Genomic DNA, 21971 nt, shown 5'->3' with positions numbered 1-21971 from the left:
TCTGAAGTATTTTGGTCTTTTTCGTGGCTATCCTAAGTGGGATTGGATTCTTAATTTGGTTCTCAGCTTCAATGTTACTGTTTATAGAAATGCTACTGATTTTTGTACATTGATTTTGTATCCTGAGACTTTACTGAAGTTGTTAATCAGGCCAAGGAGTCTTCTAGAGGAGTCTTTAGGGTTTTCTAGGTATACAATCATATTGTCAGTGAACAGAGATAATTTGACTTCTACTTTTCCAATTCAGATGCCTTTTATTTTTTTCTCTTGCCTGATAGCTCTGGCCAGGACTTCCAGTACTATGTTGAATAGGAGTTATCTTGGTTTCTAACTTGAAACGTTATATAAATGTATGTATTTTTTGTGGTCTTTCAAACAATGCCACTTACATTGTGAATGCTCAGTAATGCAGATAGAAAATACAAATTAGGAAGAAGCTTGTGGCGGATAAAACACTTGCTTAGTATTATTGGTAAAGGAATTTTATTTTGATTAGGCTGCACTAAAATTAATTTCTTTTGAGTTCAAATCAACATTGTATGGCTGTAGAATTTTATTAGATAATGTTTTGGGAAATGCAATTTTGTTTCAGCAATTAATGTAACTTCCTTTTATGTGGCTTGACCATAATGGAACTGAGTTTATGTGTGGGTTACAGAATCAGTTCATTATTTTATAAAATAGTGCTACTTGCTTGCTGTTGTTAAAAAAATACTTTCTGTCAGAAGTGGACTTTTGCTAAAACATCTATACCTTTCCCCTCTTTAGCAATAACATGTATTTGTGAATGGAGGGGTGAGACTACGGATATAACTTGTAGTTTAGGGAGGGAAGCTAAAGAAATGAAATGGGGTTATGATAAGACTGGTTATTACATCACAAGTCCAGCAAATTTAACATTCAATTCAGATGATATTTTAAAATTACTTTGTCTATTTTAAAACTTTTATAAGCATAACTATTTTCATTTTATAAGTGAAGTTTAGCAAAAACCAAGAAGACAAATGTAGAACCAGATTTTCGAGTTTTACCTTCATCGATGAACTTTGGGGCTTGACTATTCCTTAGCCATCAAGTTGAATTTCCTAATTTTAAAATGAAGAATGCAATTCTAGAAACTATTACTTGTACAAGGTCATGTCAGTCATATTCATGTTTTATACCATTTGATTCTCTGTTACAGGCATAATAGGAAATAAAATATGTGTATGTTGCTTCACTGCCTTTCTGTTCTTCATCCTCACTCCAAATGGCCAGAACCTCTTATTTCTTGTTTTCTGTGGTTCTTCGCCCAGACATAATCCCCTCACCCAAACAGAACACCATCCTGTTGCTCTACTATGGATAGTTCACTGGACATTTTCAAAAAGATATCCTTGAAAGACAAGGTTTTAAGCAAGGGAACAAATGTCTTATAATGAGAATTTTAGACATGACACAAGGATAGTGGGAGAGTTGTTCAAATTTCAGCAGTAATTTTCTCTTCTACTTAGCTCTGGGATTGGCTTAGGCCAGACCAGGTTGGTCTTTCTGCTAAATTCTGACATCTTGTCAGTGGACATTACTACTTGGGTATTTAATTGCCATTGAAAGCTCAGTATACCTCAATCTGAATGAATCACCATTTGTTTTATACCGACTCTTCCACTGAACTTCATTCTTTCAATGATAACATTAATCTGTTGGTTACAAGTGTTTGAAACTTGGGGTAAATTTTGAGTATTTCATTTCCCAAACTTTACATCCAAGTAGTCACTTGTGTATGTATTTGGTTTCCCTCTCTAGATGATAAGCCTCTTGAAAGGAAAGTTGAATTTTGTTTTTACCCCCAGCCCCACTAATACTTAGTGTCTGTGAAGTAGGTGGTCAGTAAATAGTCACTAAGTGAGTGTTAATTAAAACAGAAGGTGTAGTTGTCATTAATGTAAAGGAGGTGATTTAAATAAGGTGTTTCAAGTCATAAACAAGTAACGGAAGGAAACCTTGCATGATGTTTACTTTTTATTTGATTGTTCTTTCCTGAAATCTAAGTACATTGTTATTCTACTGTTCTATTCATAACTTTCAAGGCCTGCCTGGGCCTGTTGCAGAAAATAATGCTAGGAGAGGGTTCAAAACCTCATTAATGTACTTCACCAACTCAAAGTGCAAGGGAACAGTTTGTCATCAGGAAGATGAAGTAATGAAAGAATTATAAAAACACCTGGCACCATTCTATTATTGTAAATGCAAACTGACCATTTGAAAAGAAAAAAAATTTTGTGTTTGTTAATGCATCTGTTGCCTTTAGTTCAGAAGCAAAATTTCAGCAGTATACAAGGAGTTACCCTAATTTTCAGCTTTGTCCCTTGTAACATAAATTTTAAAAAATAATCTTTGCAAAAGTTACCCTAGCAAATGGCTAGAAAATACGAGAATAAATGATGCAAATTTGTCCTAATAATCTGTTAAACTTAAGGCATTATTAAGCAATCAAAAGTGTAAAATAAGCTTAAAATCTTCTTCACAGCTAAGGCGGTATCTATCTTAATGATTTCCACTTTTGCTGCACGTTAGAATCGCTTGGGGAACTTTTAAAAATCCTGATGTGCAGGTTGCACTCTATACCAATTAAGTCAGAATGTCTTGGCCGGGCGTGGTGGTTCACACCTGTAATCCTAGCACTTTGAGAGGCCAAGGCAGGAAGGTTCCTTGAGCCCAGGAGTTCAAGACCAACCTGGGCAACATAGGGAGACTCCATCTCTGTTGAAAAAAAAAAAATGTCTGGGGTAAGGGATAGGAGGCAGACATTGGTATTTTTAAAAGATCTTCAGGTGATTCCAAAGTGCAACAGTTTAGGTACCCCAGCCACTGAGGAAGAGGAATGACAACTACATCATGGACAGCTGAAACAAACAAGATACTATGGATTTGGAAGATTATTAAGGTCCTACTTTCACGTTTGTTTATTTTAATATGTTCTGGGTACATAGTAGATGTTTAAATATTTACTAAATTGAATTAAATTAATCTTAATTAAATCTTAAATCATATTCTTAGATATCAAGATGCTCAGCCACCCATTTCATAGTCCTTTTAAACAATTTTTAAAAATTGATATATAATAGTTGTATGTACTTTGGGGGTACATGTAATATTTTAATACTTGTGTACAATATATAATGACCAAATAAGGTAATTGGGATATCCATTACCTCAAACATTTATCTTTTCTTTGTGTTGAGAACATTACAAATCTTCTAGCTATTTTGAAATATACAACAATTGTTACCTATAATTTGTCTACTGTACTAGAATAACTAGAACTAATTGCTTCTATCTATTTTTGTATCCTTTTCTCTGCTGTACTGGAATACTATAACTAATTTCTTCTATCTATTTTTGTATCCTTAACCAACTTTGATAATCCTTATACTTACATTTCTTATACCTCTCAAGCATCAAAGACATTACAATAGCCAGCACACTACCTAATATATGTATTTCATCTCAGTTCTTCACTAGTGAAAGGTTTTTTTTATTTTTTTGAGAGAGGGTCTTTGCTCTGTTGCCCAGGCTGGAGTGCAGTGACACAATCATAGCTCATAGCTTACTGCAGCCTCAAACTTCTGGGCTCAAGTGATCTTCCCACCTCAGCCTTTCGAGTAGCTAGGGCTACAGGTACATGCCACATCAAGCTGACTTTTAAAATTTTTGTAGAGACAGGGGTCTTACTGAGTTGCCCAGGCCGGCCTCAAACTCCTGACCTCAAGTGATCCTTTCGCCTGGGACCAAAGTGTTTGCATTTCAGGCATGAGGCCATCTGCCCAGCTCAAGAACAAGTGCTTTACTGTTATCTAGTATAATCTTAATTACAACCTTATGAGTTCACTATTGTACCTCCCATTTCACAGGCAGAAAATTAAGTTGCCCAAGGTTACACAGATGGTGAGTCTTAAAGTTGCAATTCACACTCAGGTCTATCCGATCTTAATGCCCATATTTTTAAACTTTGTATTGTGCAGGAATGGAAAGATATGACAAAATGATAGCATTAATGAAAAAGAGTACTTGCAAATTCAATGTGAGTCTGTGGTGTGATGCCACTGCCAACAAGGTAAAAGCCACCTGAGGTTGTGTTCTGGAATACAGTATTCAGAGGGAGGGAAGCAACAGTCCCATGCTAGTCTTTAGGGGTGGAGCACACCTGGAGCATTGTGTGCAAGCTGGAAAAAAAAAAGAGGATTACTCACACACCTGACACTCATTGTGATGTGAGTACCCAGCATGGTGAGCTGTGTCTGTAGGAAAAACTCTTAAAAAGCTGAGACTATTTAGGCTCCACAAAGAGAAAGCTGAGGGAGGCTGAGTAGCTAGTATTTGAAATGTCATCATGTGGTGGAACATTAGACACGATTGGTGTAGTTCCAGAAGGAAAAACTAGGCTGCACATATAGGAAAATCAGAGGTAGATTTGGCTCCACACAGAAAGGAAGGTCTGGCTGTTATTTGGAGCTTTTTAGAAATGAAATGGACTTCCTTGTAAGACAGTGAATTCCTTTTCACTAATGAAGAAACTGAATGATCACTAATCCTGAGCGTTAAAGACTTAACGTATGTCAGGTGTGGCTTCTTAACGCTTAATGGGTATTAGAATCACCTGGGGGAACTTGATAACTACTGATTGCCAGGCCTTACCTTGAGAAGAGTTGCTTCAGCAGATCTGAAATAAGGTCCAAGAATCTGAATTTTTAAATTTATTTTTATTTTTATTTTTTGAGACGGAGTCTTGCTCTGTCACCCAGTCTGGAGTGCAGTGGTGTGATCTTGGCTCACTGCATCCTCCACCTCCTGGGTTCAAGTGATTGTCCTGCCTCAGCCTCCTGAGTAGCTGGGACTACAGGTACATGCCACCATGCCTGGATAATTTTTGTATTTTTAGTAGAGACGGGGTTTCACCATGTTGGCCAGGCTGATCTCGAACTCCTGACCTCAGGTGATCCACCTGCCTCGGCCTTCCAAAGTGTTGGGATTATAGGCATGAGCCACCGCGCCTGGCCAAGAATCTGAATTTTTAACAAGAAACACAGTGAGTCCAGATCACATGGTCACTGACCCGCCCTTTGAGAACTGGTGAGGTTAGATAAACTCAGATCTCTTCCACTTATCCTACAAATAAACACTTTAGTAAAAAATGTGTAGTCAACATAATGACTGCTCAAAGTTGTCGTAACAAATTTTGTAAGAAATCTAAGGCAAAATTCCTTAATATGTTGTCAGCTAAGTTAGAGATGACATCATTGGAATGTACGATATTAGGATATGGAAGGAGAACACTTGATTCTCACTCTGTGTTATAAAAGATAAGATTATAATAGCAAAATAGAAAATATAGATCCAGTTTGAAAATTTTAAACACTTCAAATAGAGAACCCACTCCACTTATGCCAAGGAGCAATCGGATGGAGACCAGATTGGCATATGAAAAAGCTGTATGATCATTTCAATAGGCAGCACCTGTGTAAGGTGAAACATCCATCAGCCTTTAGGGCCCAGGCTTATATAAACTTCAGCCTCGAACTCACGAACAGGTGTGGGTGAGAGTTGGAAACATAAGGGATAGTGCGGTTGGTCTTCTAAGTCTCGCCCACTTTTCTTAGGGGCTAAAGAGCTTTTGTTGGCAAGTATAATGTGTTTGATTATTCCTAAAGCATGCAACTTGGAGCCACATTTTGGAATTACTCTCTCCTGAAATATTTTGCTCTTTGTTAATATATCTTTAAAAAGTGATGCTTGAGGTAATTACTGTCCCATATCAGGATCTTTTTTAAGTTGTAGTGATGTTTCATTTATTACTTAAGTGCTTTAAAATTTTAAAAAGACTTTTTTTTTTCCTTTGAAAACCTTTAAAACTGGGCTATTTGAGGAATTGCTGTTCTTGGCTGTTATGTTGATTGATAGTGTTCATGTACTTACCTAGTTTACTAAGGACTTCTTTCTAGCAGATTTTCTCAGTTTTAACTTTAAGGTATGTAAAATTTCCAAATGGCAGTTAAATATTGATAATAAGTTAAACCATTTCTTTCTATTTCTTCTTGCTTCCTTTTAATGATTCAGACCTCCTTATCTATTTTTCTTGAATCATGAGAGATGAAATTGCAACAACAGTTTTCTTTGTCACAAGATTGGTGAAAAAACATGATAAACTAAGTAAACAGCAAATAGAAGACTTTGCAGAAAAGCTGATGACGATCTTGTTTGAAACATACAGAAGTCACTGGCACTCTGATTGCCCTTCTAAAGGGCAAGCCTTCAGGTGAGAGCTAGTATGTGGGATGGCAAAGGGAAGCAATCACCAAGCAACCAGCCAGCTCCTAGGAAAATGGAGTGATCTTGTTTTCTGCATATAAGTAACAAAAGTTTTATGGGCTCGAGTTTATTTGTTTGAACGTGGAATTGAAAGGAGGAGACATAGTAGATGACACTGTGGCTGGAAACAACAGAGCAAAGCCCCTTATGTGAGGTAGATTAAACAATTTCTAACTTGTCTTTGCCATGAAAGATAACTAATTTTGTGACTTAGTGATGCAACATACATTCTGAGCCACTGTATCAAAAGTTGATGATGTCTTACTTGTAAGAGTGGAGGGTGGAGGAGGCTGAGGGGAAGGAGGCTGAGGGGATGAGGTGGGAGCTATGTGTATTGGAACAGTATGTGCATAATGTGATTCTCCTGCTAAAGTGTCTGTCATCATGTCTTCGTTTCCCTTCGCTTTTTAAAAAGGTGCATCAGGATAAACAACAATCAGAATAAAGATCCCATTCTAGAAAGGGCATGTGTGGAAAGTAATGTAGATTTTTCTCACCTGGGACTTCCGAAGGAGATGACCATATGGGTAGATCCCTTTGAAGTATGCTGTAGGTGAGTAATCTCATAGTTTGTGTGCTGTGTGATACCTGGAAACCTTAAGTTAGACAACTTTACATACCTTCATGAAAGATGATGCCCCAAAGCCTTGAGTTGGCAGCAGGGATACTTCTTGGTTAAGATTTTAGATGCAAACTTCTGTTAGACAATGCAGACTTCTATTCAAAGTGGGTGAGGTGGAAAGCACAATGATTTTGCAAAATATTTGAAATGTGGCTTTAATCACTGCACCTTATTACAAACTATAGATTGGTAACAGTATCTATTACAAACTGTAGGTTGATAACAGATAAGTGTTATAGGCAACATCAGAAAGGAAGGAGAGTTATCTACCATGGGACAATTCAGTTCATTAACTGAATCAAAAGAAACTAGTCTTTGTTTTTTTCTGAACAATTAACCAAAATAGCTCTTATAGAATATCCTAATTTATAACAGTGTAGTAGGTGAAGGTCATAATGTCCTTCAATTTTTTAAGGCAATTTCTTTTAAAATAAGTTAGCATATTGTCTCCAGGAAAGATTGGAGATCTTGTAGAAAGTTGAATCGCTAATTAGCACTTAAATTTCTTTTCCTACTTAGGTATGGTGAGAAAAACCATCCATTTACAGTTGCTTCTTTTAAAGGCAGATGGGAGGAATGGGAACTATATCAACAAATCAGTTATGCCGTTAGTAGAGCCTCATCAGACGTTTCCTCTGGCACTTCCTGCGATGAAGAAAGTTGTAGCAAGGAACCTCGTGTCATTCCTAAAGTCAGCAATCCGAAGAGTATTTATCAGGTCAAGAGTGTTCCAGTTCTTTTCTATACTTTTTTTCTATCTAATTCTAAAAAGAATGCACTCATTATGAAAACAAAGAAGCAAAAAAACATGGAAAGAACAAAACTGTAGATTTTTAAAAGCCAGACTCTTAATATTTTGGCAAAACTTTTTCTGTCTCCTTCACTGCACAATGTATTCCCTACACTTGGCTGAGCTTTTAGGATCCACATAATCTTTTATTGTCCTATTTCTTCATACAGTATTTGAAGATACACAGGTTTCCTTCCACTTAAATTCCTACAGAATCAAAGATTAAGATTAGTGGGATTTTTTTTTCTGTCAATTGAAAATACCACGGCATTTATAGAAAATTTGGATATAGGAAAGGTCAAAGGCCTATAAATTCTGCCACTAGAGCAGTTTTTCTCAGCTATTTTTTTCTTCTTTTTAAACCATAACCCATTCAAAATATGTATATTTACATTTAAAAAGTTTCATGAAACAGTGCTTATCTTTACTAGGAGCAATGCTCCCAATGCTCCCAATACTTCCAATTAAATTCATTTGATTTCAAGTATCTAAATTGATTTCATGACCCACAATTTGAAAAACACTGATCTAGAGAGAATTTGTTAACACTATATGTATATATTTGTTTGTATGTTCTCTTAATCACCTATGTATTAAATGTTAAAGCAATTAAAATTTTAATATTCATTTGCCTCCTTTGTAACTTATTATTGGCAGATATTCTAGGCTGTTTCCACATGGTTGTAATATTTTTTTAAAAGCTGGTAACTCGTATAGTGATGCCTGAATTTTAGGTTGTTTCTTGAGATTTGATTCTCAAGCACAGAACTACTGGGTCGCAGAGTATGAACATTTTACTGGTTTTTAATATGCAGCCGAAACACCATGTAGAAAGTTGTATTTATTTGTAGTCTCACCAGCTGTATGTAAAAGTGCCAACTTTGCCATTTTTTTCTAGAATTGGCTATTCTCATTTAAAAAACAGATAATTTGATTAACATGATATGCATATATAATACAGTATTAGTGAAATTAAACATTAAAACTTTCCATGTGCCCAAATGTTTTAGCACCTACTGCCCTACAAATTTTCTCTTATTCAGCCATTCATTATTTGAAGTTCTAATGTATTATTGTAGGTTCTTTATATGCCAGAACGATTTTAACCCCTTGACATATTTCTGGCAAATGTTTTGTCCCTAGTTTTTTAAACTATGTGTGTCATTGATAGTTTCTTGGAAACAGTGACTTTAAGTAAAATGATGTATGACAAAGCCATTTTTTTCCTCAGTCTTATAACCAAACTATGTTATTCAAAGACCTGCTATATGTCATTTAGCTTAAAATTAGTTTCCAATAACCTATCGAGGTTGTTGAGTGAGGATTTACAGTATTTGCCCTTAATTCTATTTTTATTTTTAGAAAGGTCTTCTTCCATTTGGGGATCAGACCTGTAATCAGCTATATTCTTTTACAGCAATGTCTTTTCAAAGTGTGATCTGTAAAACATCTGTATCCATCATCTTAGGTGTTTAAAATGAAGATTTCTAGGCTGTGGCCCCAGAGATCATGAACATGCAGTTTTGGATTGGGTTGGCAGTGGTGAGGTAGGGATGGAAGAGGGACAATTCAAGAATAAACATAAACTTGAATAAGCATATTAAAAAGTTTTTAGTTGAATTAATTAACTTTTTAAAAAGGTACAGTATAAAGTGATTTATGTTCCCGCCAAGTGCTAGAAATTTTTTTCAAAGATGGTTATGCACTTTCAATTCTATTCATTTGTGCTCCCTATGCTTTTGAAGTGCCTGACTTTTGAATTATGGGTTCATATTTAGTCCTTACAGCTAGCTTATTAGAGATCTTTATACTTTTTTTTTCCAGGTTGAAAACTTGAAACAGCCCTTTCAATCTTGGTTACAAATCCCCCGCAAAAAGAATGTGGTGGACGGCCGTGTTGGCCTCCTGGGAAACACTTACCATGGCTCGCAGAAGCATCCTAAGTGTTACAGGCCTGCTATGCACCGGCTGGACAGGTACCACTGGGTCAACACACACCGATGACGCAGCGACTGGGCACGTGGTGGGCAAGAGCTCAGAGGAGTGCCTTTATTCTCTCTAAAATAAAAATGAATTTAAGGTTGAGAGGCCCATGAAACAAAAAATGACCATATTAGGGACTAGGGTACACAATGGTAAATCCTCTCATACAGATCATCACTGTTCTTAGCTGTACTTTTAATTCTTATTTAATTTTACATGAAGTTTTATGTAACATCAGTGAATGTACCCAGTAAGGTAACAGAATGAAGATGTTGACCTCTAATAAGACTCAATGAATTATGAAAAGTAATGGTTTAAATAAACGTACAGTGTTTTTAATACTTCTTAGTTCAGTTTGTTGCAAGAAACAAACTTTTAAAAGTTTATTTTTTGTAAAGAAGGGGTCTCCCTATCTTTGTAAAGGCTGGTCACAAACTCCTGAGCTCAAGCAATCCTCCTGTCTCGGCCTCCCAAAGTGTTGGGATTCAGGCGTGAGCCACCGTGCCCGGCCACCATTCATTCTTTCTCCCCTCACCCTCTACCACTTGCTAGAGGGAAAGTTGATGACTCTGCAGTCCATGTCTCTACAAATTTGATAGCAGTGAGAATTGTTTTGGCTGCTACTTTTCAATGTTTATGGTATGAGGAAATGCCCATTAGGCTGCTGCTGGTGAATTTTATCTTTGTTAGATTTTATAGATTTTAAAATTAGGAAGGGAGATTCTACAATCCAGCTTCACTTTATTAGCCAAAAATAGTTTGACTCTTCTAAATTCTGTGTCTCTAGTTGTTAGAAAATTCCCACAACCTTGTTGACTGGACCCATTCCTACTCATGCTGTTTGTTCTCAGCCAGGTCCTTGCTGTTGTTTGGCAGATCCTGTTAATCTCCACTTAAGCCATTTAGTAGCTGTCTTCTCAATCTCTTTTTACTCCACCCTCCTGTGCTCTCAGCAGGGGACTTGTTCTTTTTGTTTTCTCCTACTTCAAAACTTTATCCCTCCCTTCTCCTCTCTCATCTCCATTTTAAGGCTTTGCTCTTCTCCAGCCGCTTGTATCTTCTCCCTACATCTTGGTTTTCTTGCTGAGTTTCTGCTGTTAGGTGATTCTGGATCCAGGAAGCTGGTAGCATTGGAGCAGTCACAGCTTGGTTCTCTTGTGAGTAGACTTGTGCTTTGGGCCAGTGGCTCTGAGTGGATACAAAAAGTTGTGACCTTGAGTCCCAACTTGGGTACGACATGCCAGCAGTCATGCTAGTGCTGATGAAGGGGGAGGGAGCTTGATTCTAGCCTCATTACTTTGGGTGCAGCTCTTAGTAATCATTTTTTCTTTTTTTTCTAGAAACGATGGTTCATTAGGGCACATAGCAGCATTATTTTGTGGGACAAACTCACCTACCCTTAATGGCATATGAGGTCAAGTTTCTCTGCTGAAAAGTGAGTTTGTCCTCTCTTGAAGAGCTTTCTACTATAGTGTGGGAGTTGTTGTGAACCTCCCTAGATTTCTCTCAAGGCAACCACAACACTAGTTTACTGGCCCCTCAGCAAACCATCTCCTGGAGGTGGTTGTGATGTTTGCCAGCCTCCATACGTGTGTGGGTGAATTCTGGTCTCCAGATAATGGGGCAGAAACAAGACTACCAGCAATGGGTGTAAGTATTAGGCTTTAGGATGCTGGCATGTATGTGAATGTACTTTAGTTTAATCCTTAACCATCAAGTTAGAATTTCTGGTAACATTTCATTTTCTCTGCCTCCCTACCTTCTGCCCTTGTGCAGGCAATTGTCATTAGTTACCTGATTATTGCAACAGTCTACTAACAACAGTAACTGTTTCTCATCTTGTTCCCTATCCTAAGGTAATCTTTACTCTCCAGTTTAAAATGTTTCAATCAGGAAATTATTCAAATTCTAGAATATGACTTCTGGTCTTAATGACTTGAGTTCTTGCATATCTTTTCAGCCTAACCTCGACTCTTTTGGACTCTGTTTGTTTGTTTGTTTGTTTCCTTTGAGACAGAGTCTCACTTTGTTGCCCAGGCTGGAGTGCAGTGGCGAGATCTTGGCTCACTGCAACCTCCGCCTCCCAGGTTCAAGTGATTCTCGTGCCTCAGCCTCCAGAGTAGCTGGGACTACAAGCGTGCGCCCCCATGCCCGGGTAATTTTTGTATTTTTAGTACAGACGGCATTTCACCATGTTGGCCACGCTGGTCTCAAACTCCTGGCCTCAAGTAATCTGCCCACCTTGGCCTCCCAAAGTGCTGGGATTACCGGGGACTCTGGTATTTGAGACTTCTTGATTGGGATACTTCTCACCTTGCCTCATTGTTCTCCCTTCCCTCTTGATCTTTGGGTATCACTTGAGATGCTACCTCTTCCAGGAAGACTTCCTGATCCCCAAGTCCAGTTTACAGTCATATGTTAGGGGTTCCTTACAGCATTCTGTCTGCCCCTAGAAGAGCACTTATCTATTATAATTGTTTCATAGTTATCAGTATCCTCCCAATAGACTGAGTTTTCAGAGTACAGATACCTCATATTCCCATTTAATGTTGGCATATAGCAGTGTTCAGATTTATAGACTGAATGACTTTATTGGCGATTAAATGCTTGCCTAATATATAATCTGATACACGGCATTAAATAATGCTTGTTGGTTGATCATTCTCTCAGCAGAGTAAGAAGTATTGTGTTCTAGGCTGGGCATGGAGAACTAATCGCTGTAAAAATCTGAAGCTGTTTGGTCTTTACATGTACAATTTAGTGGACTAAAAAAAGAAAAATCAACCATATATAATAGTTGCTAGATAAAAAATGCAACATAATATTTGGATATGACAGAAGACTGAGTGATTTTTCAAGAACCTTTACACAGAGGGTTTTATTAATAGTGTCCCTTGCAGTTTGCAAGGTTGGTTTAAAAACATTTCTTCCAGCCAGCAGAGGTGACACTGTACCCCTGAACCCCATGCTGCTGATGGACACTGCTAGTCAATCACAGTGTTCTGATTTGGGTTCAGAGATTGCCTCATAATTCTTGTAGCACAGTACTTGAGATGACCATTATAATTAATTGTTCCAAATTGGTACTCAGGAAGAAACCAATTCCACAATGTGCTAGGGTTTGGCTCAGAGGCAGCCATCCATGAGCATATGATCCCTGTGTAATCCTTTAGAGCCTCTCAGGAGGCTCTGAGCAAATGTGTAGGGGAAAAAATATAATCAACTATATATTTTTATTGTGATAAAAAGTAGTCAATATACTTGAAAAGCCCCTAAATATATTAATGTCATATCTATTAGTCTATTTGTATAATAACCAAATTAGATCTTCCTAATCTACATTTTGAAAATTTTCTATGATGAGTATGTACCACTTATTTTTCTTTTCTTTTCTTTCTTTCTTTCTTTTTTTTTTTTTTTTGAGATCAGGTCTCACTCTGTCACCTAGGTTGGAGAGCAGTGGTGCAATCATAGCTCACTGCAGCCTTGACTCCCTGGCTTGAGTCATCCTCTTGCCTCAGCCTCCTGAGTAGCTGGGACTACAGGCACCTGGCTAATTTTTGATTTTTAGTAGAGAACGAGGTCTCGCTATGTTGCCCAGGCTGGCCTTGAACTCCTGAGCTCAAGGGATCCTCCCGCTTCGGCTTCCCAAAGTGCAGGGATTACAGGCATGAGCCACCATGCCTGGCCTTCTCTTTTTAAAAAAATTTTTATCTTGAGGTAATTATAAATTCACATGCAGTTGTAAGAAATAACATAGATTGCATGCATTCTTTTACCTAGTTTTCCCCCTTGGTAACATTTTGCAAAACTTTAGTACAGTATCACAACCAGATATTGACATTGCTACAGTCAAGATACAGAACACTTCCATCACCACAAGAATTCCTCTTGTTGCCCTTCTATAGTTGCACACACTTCCTCCGACTCCCATCCCTTTCTTAACCCCTTGGCAACCACTAATCTTCCCCCTGTTCTTTTAATTTTGTCATCTCAAAAATGTTATAAATTAATCATACTGTAGGTAACCTTTTGGAATTGGCTCTTTTCACTAAGCATAGTTCTTTGGAGATTCATCCAGGTTGCTGCATGTATTGGTAGTTTATTCCTTATTGTTGCTGAGCAGTATTCCGTGGTATGGATACATCACAGTTTAGCCATTTACCTGTCAAAGAACAACCGATTGTTTCTGGTTATTAGGAATAAAACTGCTACAAACATTTGTGTAGACAATGTGTGAACATAGGCATTTATTCCAGAGAAATAAAAACATATGAGTGCAATTAATGGGTCATATAGTAGTTGCATGCTTAGTTTTTAAAGAAACTGCCATTTTATGTTCCCATCAGCAATGTATGAGTGATTCAGCTTTTCCACACACTTACCAGTCTTTGGTATTGTCATAATTTTTTATTTCAGCCATTCTGATGGGTGTGTAGGGTATCTTAGTATGGTTTTAATTTACATGACCCTCATGGCTAGTGATGTTGAACATCTTGTGCTCATTTGGCATCTGAATATCTTGTTTGATGAAATATCTGTGTAAGTCTTCTGGCCATTTTCTAATTGAGTGCGTTGTTTATTTTTCCACTGAGTTTTGAGAATATTTGATATATTCTAGACACTGGTGCTTTGTCAGATGTGTGGCCTGAAACTATTTTCTTCCAGTTTGTACCTTGTATTTTAAAAAGTTCTTTATTTTTAATTATTATGGGTACATAATAGTTATATATGTGGAGTACATGTGATGTTTTGATAGAGGCACATGTTGTGTTATAAATCATGGTAATTGGGGTATTCATCACCTCAAGCGTTGATCATTTCTTTGTGTTAGGAACATCTCAATTTCACTTTCAGTTTTTTATTTATTTTTTTTATTTTTGAGATGGAGTTTTGCTCTCGTTGCCCAGGCTGGAGTGCAATGGCACGATCTCAGCTCCCTGCAACCTCTACCTTCCAGTATCAAGCGATTCTCCTGCCTCAGCCTCCCGAGTAGCACGTGCCCGCCACCACACCCAGCTAATTTTTTTTTTTTTTTGTATTTTTAGTAGAGATAGGATTTCACCATGTTGGCCAGGCTGGTCTCAAACTCCTGGCCTCATGTGATCCACCCACTTTGACCTCCCAAAGTGCTGGGATTACAGGCATGAGCCACTGCACCCGGCCACTTTCAGTTATTTAAAAATGTACAGTAACTTATCGACTATGGTCATCCTATTGTATTACTAAGTACCAGATCTTAATTATTCTAACTGTATTTTTGTACCCACTAACAATCCCCACTCACCCAACCCCTCCCTGCTACCCTTCCCGGCTTCTAGTAACCAACCATTCTACTCTATTTCCATGGGTTCAATTTTTTTTTTTCACTCCCAAGTGTGAATGAGAACATATAATATTTGTCTTTCTGTGCCTGGCTTATTTCACTTAATGTCCTCTAGTTCCATCCATGTTGTTGCAAATGACAGGATTTTATTATTTTTTATGAAGGATTTTATTCTTCGTAAATGATAGGATTTTATTCTTTTTTATGAAAGATTTTATTCTTTTTCATGATTGAATAATGTTCCATTGTGTATATGTACCACATTTTCTTTATCCATTCATCTGTTGATGGATACTTAGGTTGATTCCATATGTTAGCTGTTGTCAATAGGGTTGCAATAAACATGGGAGTGCAGATATCTCTTCGATATACTGTTTTCCTGTCTTTTGGATATGTATCTAGCGGTGGGATTGCTGGATCATATGGTAGTTCTATTTGTAGTTTTTTGAGGAACCTCCATACTGTTCTCCATAGTGGCTGTAGGAGTTTGCATTCCCACCAATGGTGTATGAGGGTTCCCCTTTCTACACATCCTCACCAGCAACAGTTATTACTTGTCTTTTTGATGCAAGCCATTTTGATGGGGTGAGATGATATCTCATTGTAGTTTTAATTTGTGTTTCTCTGATTAGTGATGCTGAATATTTTTTTCACATACCTGTTGGCCATTTGTCTTTTTTTTTTTTGAGATGGAGTTTCACTCTTGTTGCCCAGGCTGGAGTGCAATGGCATGACCTCAGTTCGCCACAACGTCTGCTTCTGGGTTCAAGTGATTTCCTGCTTCAGCCTCCCGAGTAGCTGGAATTACAGGCATGCACCACCATGCCTGGCTAATTTTGTATTTTTAGTAGAGATGGGGTTTTTCCGTGTTGGTCAAGCTGGTCTTGAACTCCCAACCTCAGGTGATCTGCCCACCTCAGCCTCCCAAAGTGCTGGGATTACAGTCTTGAGCCACCGTGGCCGGCCTTGTTTGTTTTCTTTTAAGAAATCTCTATTCAGTACCTTCTGAGCCAAATAAAAACAAAGAGAACAAAAGAAATGCCTGTTTGGATTTTTTGTCCAAAAAAATTGAATTTTTTTCCCTATTGAGTTGTTTGAGCTTCTTATCTATTCTAGCAGTTAATACCTGTCAGATGGGTAGTTTGTAAATATCTTCTCCTATTCTGTGAGTTGTCTCTTCACTTTGTTGATTATTTCCTTTGCTGTGCAAAGCTTTTTAGCGAGATGTGATCTCATTTGTCCATTTTTGTTTCGGTTGCCTGATTTTGAGGTCTTCCCAAGAAACCTTTGCCCAGACCAATGTTCTAGAACATGTTCCCAATGTTTTCTTCTAGTAGTTTCATAGTTTCAGATCTTATATTTAAGTTCTTAATCCATCTTTACTGGATTTCTACATATGGCAAGAGATAGTGGTCTAGTTTCATTCTTTCGTGTATGGATATCCAGTTTTCCCCACACTATTTATTGATGAGACTGTCCCTAGTGTATGTTCTTTGCACCTTTGTTGAAAATGAGTTGACTATAAATGCATGGACTTATTTCTGGGTTTTCTATTCTGTTCCGTTGGTCAATGTGTATGTTCTTATGCCAGTACCATGCTGTTTTGGTTACTATAGCTCTGTAGTATAATTTGAAGTCAGGTTACATAATTCCTTCAGTTTTGCTCTTTTTTGCTTAGGATGGCATTGGCTGTTCTGGGTCATTTGTGATTCCATATACATTTTAGAATTTTTTTTTATTTCTGTGAAGAATGTCATTGGTATTTTGATAGGGATTGCATTGAATCTGTAGACTGCTTTGGGTACCATGGACATTTTAACACTATTGATTCTTCCAGTCCATGAACATGGAACGTCTCCATTTTTTGTGTGCTCTTCAATTTCTTTCATTAATATTTTATAGTTTTCATTGTGGACATCATTCACTTTTTTGGTTAAGTTTATTCCTAGGTATTTTATTTGTAGCTATTGTAAATGGGAGTAGCTTCTTGGTTTCTTTTTCAGATTGTTTACTGTTAGCATATAGAAATGATACTGATTTTTGTATGTTGATTTTTATATCCTGCAACTTTACTGAATTTATTTTTCAGTTTCAATAGATTTTTGGTGTGGAGTCTTTAGGTTTTTCTAAATATAAGACTATATCGTCTGCAAGGAATGATAATTTGACTTCTTTCTTTCCAATTTGGATACCCTTTATTTCTTTCTCTCATCTAGTTGTTCTGGGTAGGGCTTCCAGCACCATGTTGAATAAAAATGGTGAAAGTGGGCATCGTTGTCTTGTTCCAGATCTTAGAGAAAAGGCTTTCAGTTTTCCCATTCAGTATGATCCTAGCTGTGGGTTTGTCATATGTGGCTTTATGATTTTGAGGTATGTTCCTTCTATACCCAATTTGTTGAGTATTTTAAAAATGAAGGGATGTTGAATTTTGAGTGCTTTTTCAGCATCGATCAAAATTATCATATGACCATTTGACCCAGGAATTTCATTACTGGGTATATACCCAAAGGAATATAAATCATTCTATTATAAAGATACATTCACGTGTATGTTTATTGCAGCACTATTCACAATGGCAAAGACATGGAGCCAACCTAAATGCCCATCAATGATAGTCTGGATAAAGAAAATGTGGTACATATGCACCATGGAATACTACACAGCCATAAAAAGGAAAGATCATGTTTTTTCCAGGGACATGGATAGAGCTGGAAGCCATTATCCTTAGCAAACTAACACAGAAACAGAATGTCAAGCACTGCATGTTCTCACTCATAAGTTGGAGCTGAACAATGAGAACACGTGGACACAGGGAGGGGAACAACATACACTGGGGCCTGTCAGGGAGGAGGCGGGGGGAGGGAGAGCATCAGGATAAAATGCTAATGCATGGGGGGCTTAATACCTAGGTAATGGGTTGATAGGTGCAGCAAACCACCATGGCACATGTTTACCTATATAACAAACCTGCACGTCCTGCACATGTATCACCAAACTTGAAATAAAATTAAATATTTAAAAAAATCAATTAAAAGCATGTGGTTTTGTCTTTGATTCTCTTAATGTGATATATCACATTATTTTTTGCATATGTTTAACTATCCTTGCATCCCTGGGATGAATCCCACATGATCATGATCATGATGAATACTTTTTTAATGTGCTATTGAATTCAGTTTGCTGGTATTTCACTGAGGATTTTTGCATCTATATTCATCAGAGATACTGGCCTGTAGTTTTCTTTTTTCTGTTGTATCTTTGTCTGGGTTTGATATCCAAGTAATACTGGCCTCATAGTATGGGTTTGGAAGTATTACCTTCTGCTCAATTTTTTAGCCCAATTTTTTAGAATAGTATGAATAGTATGTATGTGTGTATTTATTTATTTATTTGGAGGCAGGGTCTTACTCTATCACCTAGGCTGGAGTGCAGGGGTGTGATCTTGGTGTGATCTGCAACCTCTGCCTCCCAGGCTCAAGCAATCCTCCTGCCTCAGCTTCCTGGGTGCTATGACTACAGGTGCACACCACCGTGTCTGATTAATTTTTGAGTTTTTGTAGAGATGGGGTTTCACCATGTTGCCCAGGCTGGTTCTTGAACTCCTGGGCTCAAGTGATCTACCCACCTTGGCCTTCCAAAGTGCTGGGATTACAGGCATCATAGTTCTTTAAATGTTTGGTAGAATTCAGCAGTGAAGCCTTTAGGTCCTGGGCTTTTCTTTGATAGAAGCAGTAGTAAAAAGCTTTCTATCTCATTACTTGTTATTGGTCTATTCAGGTTTTGGATCTCTTCAGGTTTCAATCTTGACAGGTTGTATGTCTAAGAATTTATCCATTTCTTCTAGGTTTTCCAATTTATTGATGCATAGTTGTCCTGTGGTATCAGTTGTAATGCCTCCCTTTTCATCTCTGGTTTTATTTGTTTGGTTCTTCTCTCTTTTTTCCTTTTTAGCTACTCCTACAGGAAAGATCTTTTTTCTTAATCTGGCTAAAGGTTTGTCAATTTTGTTTATCTTTTCAAAAAACCAACTTTTCATTTTGTTCTTTTGTATTTTTTTAAAGTCTCAATTTCATTCACTTCTGCTCTGATCTTTCACTTCTTCTACTGGTTTTTGAGTTTGGTTTGCTCTTGCTTTTCTAGTTCTTCAAGGATGCATTGTTAGATTGTTTATTTGAAGTTTTTCTTATTTTTTGACGGAGGCATTTATTGCTATAAACTAGCACTCCTAGTACTGCTTTTGCTGTATTCCATTGGTTTTGGAATGTTGTATTTCATTTGTTTCAATACATTTTTATATTCTCTTAATTTCTTCATTGACCTCATGGTCGGTTAGGAGCATATTTTAAAATTTCCATGTGTTTGTACAGTTTCCAAAGTTTCCTTTGTTATTGATTTCTAGTTTTATTCCACTGTGGTTGGAAAAAGTAGTTGATATGATTTCATTTTTTAAAAAATTTTTGAGACTTGTTTTGTGGCCTAACATATGGTCTGTCCTTGAGAATGTTCCATATGCTGAGGAGAAGAATGGGTATTCTGCAGCAGTTGGATAAAATGTTCTGTAAATGTCTGTTAGGTCCTTTTGGTGTGCAGTACAGATTAAGTCCAGTGTTTCTTTGATTTTCTATTGGGGTCATCTGTCCAATACTGAAAGTGGCGTGTTGAAATTCCCAGATATTGTATTGAGGTCCATCTCTCTTTGGCTCCAGTAATATTTTCTTTATAAATCCGGGTGCTCCAGTGTTGGGTACATATATATTTATAATTGTTATATGCTTTTGTTGAATTGACCCCCTTATCATTGTATAATGACCTCCTTTGTCTCTTTTACAGTTTTTGTCTTGAAATCTATTTTATCTGATAACTGTAGCTTCTCCTGCTTTTTTGGTTTCCATTTGCATAGAATATCTTTTTCAGTCTATGTGTGCCTTTATAGGTGATATGAGTTTCTTGCAGGCAGCATGTAGTTGGGTGTTTTAAAAACTCCATTCAGCCACTGTATGTCTTTTGATTGGAGAATTCAGTCCATTTAAATTTCAGTGTTGTTATTGATAGGTAAGAACTTACTACTGCCATTTTGTTTGTTTTCTGGTTGTTTTGTTGGTCCTCTTTCCTTCCTGTCTTTCTTTGTGTAAAAGTGATTCCCTCTGACAGTATGTCTTAATTTCCTTTTTTTTTGTGTGTGTATCTCTTACAGGTTTTTGCTTTGCCATTACCGTGAAGCTTGCAAATAGCATTTATTAACCAATTTAAAAATGGTGACAATGGTGACAACTGTGATTACAAAGAAAAGCAAAGCAAAGATAAAATTAAAACACTACACTTGAACTCCATCTCCTCCCTACCCCCTGCTTTCACTTTTTGATCTCTTTATTTATCTTTTTATACTGTGTATCTATTAAAATGTAGTTGTAATTATTTTTGATAGATTTGTCTTTTAGTCTTCCTATGAAAGATACAAGTGGTTTATATGACACTGTTAGTGCAACTATACTGTTAGAGCAACTACAGTGTTAGTGTATTTATTTTTCTGTGTACTTTTACGAGTAATTTTTATATCTTCAAATTACTTCTTTTTCATTAACATCCCTTTTTTTCAGATTGAATAGCTTTCTTTAGATTTCTTGTAAGGTGGGTCTGGTGTTGGTGAAATCCCTCAGCTTTTGTTTTTCTATGAAAGTATTTCTCCTTCATGTTTGAAGAATAATTCTGCTAGATATGATATTCTAGGTTAGACTTTCTTTTTTCTTTGGCACTTTGAATGTCATTCCACTCTCTTGGCCTGTGAGATTTCCATGAAGATGTCTGCTGCCAGATATACCAGAGATCCTTTCTATGTTATTTGCTTATTTTCTCTTACTACTTTTAGGATTCTTTATCCTTGTTCTTTAAGGGTTTCATTATTGTATACCTTGAGATAGTCTTATTTAGGTTGAATCTTTTTGGTGTCCTATGACCTTCTTGTACTTGGATATTCATGTCTCCAGGCTTGGAAATTTCTGTCATTTCTTTGAATGAACTTTCTACCCTGATATTTCTCTCTGTCTCTCTTTGTCTGTCCTCTTTAAGGGTAATAACTCTTAGATTTGCTGTTTTGAGGCTATTTTCTAGATCTTGTAGGTGTGCTTCTTTTTTATTCTTTTCTCTTCTCTGACTGTCTGTTTTCATGTAGCCTGACTCAAACTCACTGATTCTTTCTTCAGCTTGGTCAATTTGCTGTTGATTCTGATGCATTTTTCAGTTTATCAGTTGAATTTTTTAGCTCCAGAATTTTTGCTTGATTTAAAACAAATTATTTCAATCTTTTTGTTGAATTTTCTGAAAGAATTCTCAATTCCTTCTCTGTTATCTTTTTATCTATGTTGCTGAGCTTCCTCAAGGTGGTGATTCTGATTCCCTGTTTGAAAGATGATATCTTCATCACTGTGGGATTGGTCACTGGTGTCTAATTTAGTTTATTTAGTGAAGTCATGTTTTCTTGGATGTTGTTGATGCTTGTGGCCACTCATCAATGTTTGGGCATTGAAGAATTAAGTATTCCAATCTTTGTAATCTGGATTTATTTGTACCTGCCCTTCTTGAGAAGGCTTTCCACATATTAAAAGGGGATTGAGTGTTGTGATCTAAGCTTGTGGTCACTGCAGGTGTATCAGCACTGGGGTGTACCCTAAGCACAGGAATGCTGCAATTTCTGCTGGCTCCTTGAGGAACTGCCTTGGTGGGCTGGGTTATTTTGGTTCTTGCGAAGGTGCTTTCTTGCATGGGTAGTTGTTCAATTTGGTGTTCCTGTAGGGGGATGCTTGCTAGAGGGTTCTATTAGGCCATCTTGCTCAGACTTCTACGTTGTGTTTTATCCTCTTAATGACGTCTTTCACAGATCAAAATCTTTTAATTTTGATGAAGTC

General features: G+C 37.1%; 1 protein-coding gene across 21 annotated transcripts in view; it reads left to right on the top strand.

The window, feature by feature from the left end:
• BTG4 (BTG anti-proliferation factor 4) overlaps positions 1-21971 on the top strand; it is a 130900-nt gene that overhangs the window by 9827 nt on the left and 99102 nt on the right. For 16 of the 21 annotated variants that reach the window (XR_947835.3, XR_947834.3, XR_947852.3 and 13 more), the window contains 4 exons: positions 6097-6295; positions 6764-6901; positions 7490-7688; positions 9585-9736. Coding sequence is in view for 13 of the 21 variants with exons in the window: in XM_011542876.3 (XP_011541178.1) it covers positions 6123-6295; positions 6764-6901; positions 7490-7688; positions 9585-9736 (662 nt within the window). In the remaining 8 variants the exon portion in view is untranslated. Of the gene's footprint in view, positions 1-6096; positions 6296-6763; positions 6902-7489; positions 8388-9584; positions 10085-11083; positions 11179-21971 lie in introns of those variants that run through there. The other 5 variants (NM_001367974.1, NM_001367975.1, XM_011542879.3 and 2 more) reach the window with 4 other exon arrangements.

Source organism: Homo sapiens, chromosome 11, assembly GCF_000001405.40.
Source record: "Homo sapiens chromosome 11, GRCh38.p14 Primary Assembly".
Taxonomy (NCBI): Eukaryota; Metazoa; Chordata; class Mammalia; order Primates; family Hominidae; genus Homo; species Homo sapiens.
Note: the sequence above shows the minus strand (reverse complement) of the source record. Positions and strands in the feature narration are given on the sequence as shown.